General features: G+C 45.9%; 1 annotated feature.

Moving 5' to 3' along the window:
- Positions 895–1,482: an enhancer, noted in NCBI's record as "OCT4-NANOG hESC enhancer chr1:241602586-241603173 (GRCh37/hg19 assembly coordinates)". NCBI's record gives its function as "activates a minimal SCP1, AML or CMV promoter by ChIP-STARR-seq in primed H9 embryonic stem cells {active_cell/tissue: H9 hESC(primed)}" and the evidence as "EXISTENCE:reporter gene assay evidence [ECO:0000049][PMID:30033119]".

Genomic DNA, 4,577 nt, shown 5'->3' with positions numbered 1-4,577 from the left:
GAACCCAAGAACTATGACAGCTTAGAAAAATTCTGGGAAATATTTGTTTGTATGGGCACCAAAGTGGAACTGTAGCTCTATCAGCAATAGAATCCTTCCTTCTCTCTCTTCCTCCCTCCCTCCCTCCCCACCGTTCTTTCTCTCTCTTCCTCCTTTCCTTTCTTCCATTTCTATAGACCTGAACATATTCCATAGTGCTTCTGTCCTATGTGTTTGGGGGAATACAGAGATTTGCTGGACACAACTTTTGCTTTACAGAAGGAATCTAGACACATCACCGAGAACAAGAACACAAGGCAAGCAGTGACAAACACCACATTAGAGACACAGATAGAACCACCTGCTTGCCTAGTCTATGTGGCTGAAGAGGGGCTGGCTCTAAAACACCTCCCACATCAGCTGTACCTTTTCCCCATCTGGAGTATCGGGTACACCTACAGTTCAGGTGCCACACTCCACTTCTAGTTCCAGTGAGAAGAAAGTGGCAGAGGAGATGACTGGGTGAAAGCCTTCTACAGGCAAAGCCATAATTTTCACATCAACATCATATGCTTCCCAAGGGATGTTTCTTGTCATCAATATGTATCTGAAAGCAATACTTCTCATGAACCACCTTCTTGGTTGCCAGGCCCAAGGATTAGAATTGCACATATCAGAAGGACAATTTTCACTCCCTTTAAAAAGCAAATTAACTATAATGCATATAAATAGCTGTTCCCACAGAGGCAGCTGAGTTTGGAGGACATAGTACCAGCAGGGGTTATTGATATTTTTATGTGATCAGGAAAACTGCCTTAAACAAACATTGCTTCCTAGTGAGATATTCATCAGTAAAGCCGTCATGTCAAAAAGGCCCAAGTTCTCAAGAACCTTGTATTACATGTTTCATGCGCGTCCATGTGAAGAGACCACCAAACAGGCTTTGTGTGAGCAGTAAACCTTTTAATCACCTGGGCGCAGGCGGGCTGAGTCTGAAAAGAGAGTCAGCAAAGGGAGATAGGGGTGGGGCCGTTTTATAGGATTTGGGTAGGTAAAGGAAAAAGGGGGGTTGTTCTCTGGCGGGCAGGAGTGGGGGGTCACAAGGTACTCAGTGGGAGAGGTTTTGAGCCAGGATGAGCCAGGAGAAGGAATTTCACAAGACAATGCCATCAGTTAAGGCAGGAACAGGCCATTTTCACTTCTTTTGTGGTGGAATGTCATCAGTTAAGGCAGGAACCGGCCATCTGGATGTGTACGTGCAGGTCATAGGGGATATGATGGCTTAACTTGGACTCAGAGGCCTGACATTCCTGTCTTCTTATATTAATAAGAAAAATAAAATGAGATAGTGGTAAAGTGTTGGGACGGCAAAAATTTGGGGGGATGGTATGGAGAGATAATGGGCGATGTTTCTCAGGACTGCTTCGAGCAGGATTAGGGGCAGCATGGGAACCTAGAGTGGGAGAGATTAAGCTGAAGGAAGATTTTGTGGAAAGGGGTGATATTGTGGGACTGTTAGAAGAAACATTTGTCATTTAGAATTATTGGTGATGGCCTGGATACAGTTTTGTATGAAATGAAAAACTAAACAGAATAAGAGAAGGAGAAAAACAGGTATTAAAGGACTAAGAATTGGGAGGAACCAGGACATCTAATTAGAGAGTGCCTAAGGAGGTTCAGCATAGCCTTGCCAGCAAAGATTATTTATTTACTTTAAGAGTTAAGAGTGGTGGTTTGGGGATAGCACCAGGAGATATCAGCTGTGACAGCTTGGAGAAACAGTGTAAACTGGCAGTGTAAACAAGAGCAGGGCATGTATGAGTAGTTGAGAATGGTGAATAGGAGTATGACTAGACAGAAGACAGTAGGGATGACAAGTTTTTTGGGACAAAGTCCAAGTTGGTCTGGTGTCTGGAAAGAGACTACGACCTAAGAAAAAGGAGCATCTATACGGGAGCTCAAGTGGGCTGTACCTTGTAGCATTCTGAGGACAGGCCTGAATTCTGAGAAGGGAAAGTGGTAAAAATATTGTCCATTCCTTTTTAAGTTGGTGGCTGAGCTTGGTGAGGTGTGTTTTTAAAAGACCTTTAGTCTGTTCTACTTTTCCTGAAGACCGAGGACTGTAAGGGATATAAAGGTTTCAGTGAATACCAAGAGCCTGAAAAACTGCTGGGCTGATTTGACTAATAAAGGCTGGTCTGTTGTCAGACTGTATAGAGGTGGGAAGGCTAAACTGAGGAATTATGTCTGACAGAAGGGAAGAAATGACTGCGGTGGCCTTCTCAGACCCTGTAGAAAAGGCCTCTACCTATCCAGTGAAAGTGTCTACTTAGACTAAGAGGTATTTTAGTTTTTCTGACTCAGGGCATGTTGAGTAAAGCTAATTTGCCAGTCCTGGGCGGGGGCAAATCCCCGAGCTTGATGTGTAGGGAAGGGAGGGGGCCTGAATAATCCCTGAGGAGTAGTAGAATAGCAGATGGAACACTGAGAAGTTATTTCCTTGAGGATAGATTTCTACGATGGAAAGGAAATGAGAGGTTTTAAGAGGCGGGCTAGTGACTTGTACTATAGCATAGCTTGCCTTTGCTGGTGTGTGGCGATTAGGCCTGGTGGAACTGCCATCAATAAATCAAGCGTGATCAGGGTGAAGAACAGGGAAGAAGGAAATGTGGGGAAATGGGGTGAACGTCAGGTGGATCAGAGAGATGCAGTCATGAGGGTCAGGTGTGGTATCAGGAATAATGTGGGAGGCCGGATTGAAGTCCGGGCCAGGAGCAATGGTAATTGTGGGAGACTCAACAAAGAGTGGGTACAGCTGAAGGAGCCAGGAAGCAGAAAGTATATGCATCAGGTGTGAGGAAGAAAATAGATTAAGGAAATTACGAGAGCTGTAGAGAGTGAGTTGAGCATAGTTTGTGATTTTAAGGGCCTCTAGAAGTATTAGGGCGGCAGCAGCCACTGCACGGAGACATAATGGCCAGCTTAAAACAGTAAGGTCAAGTTGTTTGGACAAAAAGGCTACAGGACGTGATCCCGGTCCTTGTGTAAGAATTCCGACTGCACAACCCTGCACTTCAGCTGTGTGTAATGGAAAGGGTTGGGATGAGTTAGGGAGAGCTAGGATGGGGGCAGTCTCTAAAGCTGTCTTCAAGGAACGGAAAGAGGAGTGGGGAAAGGATTTAGGATCTATGGGGTCAGCTAAGTTTCCTTTTGTGAGTTTACATAATGGTTTTTTTAGGATGGCAAAACCAGGTATCCAAAGGTGAAAGTATCCAACCATGCCCAGGAAGGAAAGGAGTTGTTGTTTTGTAGAAGGGATTGGGGTTTGAGAGATTAGTCGGACATGATCAGCAGGGAGAGCACGTGTGTTTTTATGAGAATTATGCTGAGATAGGTAACAGATAAGGAAGAAATTTCGGCTTGACTGAAGTAATGGGGGCTGTCTGTGAAGCTTTGTGGCAGTACAGCCCAGGTAATTTGCTGAGCCTGATGGGTGTCAGGGTCAGTCCAAGTGAAAGTGAAGAGAGGCTGGGATGAAGGGTGCAAAGGAATAGTAAAGAAAGCAGGTTTGAGATCCAGAATAGAATAATGGATTGTGGAGGGAGGTATTGAGGATAGGGCAATATATGGGTTTGGCACCATGGGGTGGATAGGCAAAACAATTTGGTTGATAAGGCATAGATCCTGAACTCACTTGTAAGGTTTGTCTGGTTTCAGGACAGGTAAAATGGGGGAATTGTAAGGAGAGTTTATAGGCTTTAAAAGGCCATGCTGTAGCAGGTGAGTGATAACAGGCTTTAATCCTTTCAAAGCATGCTGTGGGATGGGATATTGGCATTGAGCGGGGGTAAGGGTGATTAGGTTTTAATGAGATGGTAAGGGGTGCATGATCAGTAGCCAAGGAGGGAGTAGGGTATCCTATACTTGTGGGTTAAGGTGGGGGGATACAAGAGGAGGACGCAAAGGAGGCTTTGGATTGGGAAGAAGGGCGGCAATGAGATGTAGCTGTAATCCAGGAATAGTCAGGGAAGCAGATAATTTAGTTAAAGTGTCTCGGCCTAATAAGGGAACTGGGCAGGTGGGGATAACTAAAAGGAGTGCTTAAAAGAGTATTGTCTAAGTTGGCACCAGAGTTGGGGAGTTTTAAGAGGTTTAGAAGCCTGGCTGTCAATACCCACAACAGTTATGGAGGCAAGGGAAACAGGCCCTTGAAAAGAAGGTAATGTGGAGTGAGTAGCCTCTGTATTAAGAAGGGGATGGACTTACCCTCCACTGTGAGAGTTACCTAAAGCTCGGCGTCCATGATGGTCTACGGGGCTTCTGAGGCAATCGGGCAGCGTCAGTCTTCAGCTGCTAAGCCGAGAAGATCTGGGAAGAAGTCAGTCAGAGAGCCTTGGGCCAGAGTTCCAGGGGCTCTGGGAGTGGATGCCAGGTGAGTTGAACAGTCCGATTTCCAGTGGGGTCCTGCACAGATGGGACATGGCTTAGGAGCAATCCTGGGCTGCGGGCATTCCTTGGCCTGGTGGCCAGATTTCTGGCACTTGTAGCGGCGTTCTGGGGGAACGCCTGGCCACTGCGGTTTAGGCGTTTGGAAGTTC

The sequence above is a fragment of the Homo sapiens genome, chromosome 1 (assembly GCF_000001405.40).
Source record: "Homo sapiens chromosome 1, GRCh38.p14 Primary Assembly".
Taxonomy (NCBI): Eukaryota; Metazoa; Chordata; class Mammalia; order Primates; family Hominidae; genus Homo; species Homo sapiens.
Note: the sequence above shows the minus strand (reverse complement) of the source record. Positions and strands in the feature narration are given on the sequence as shown.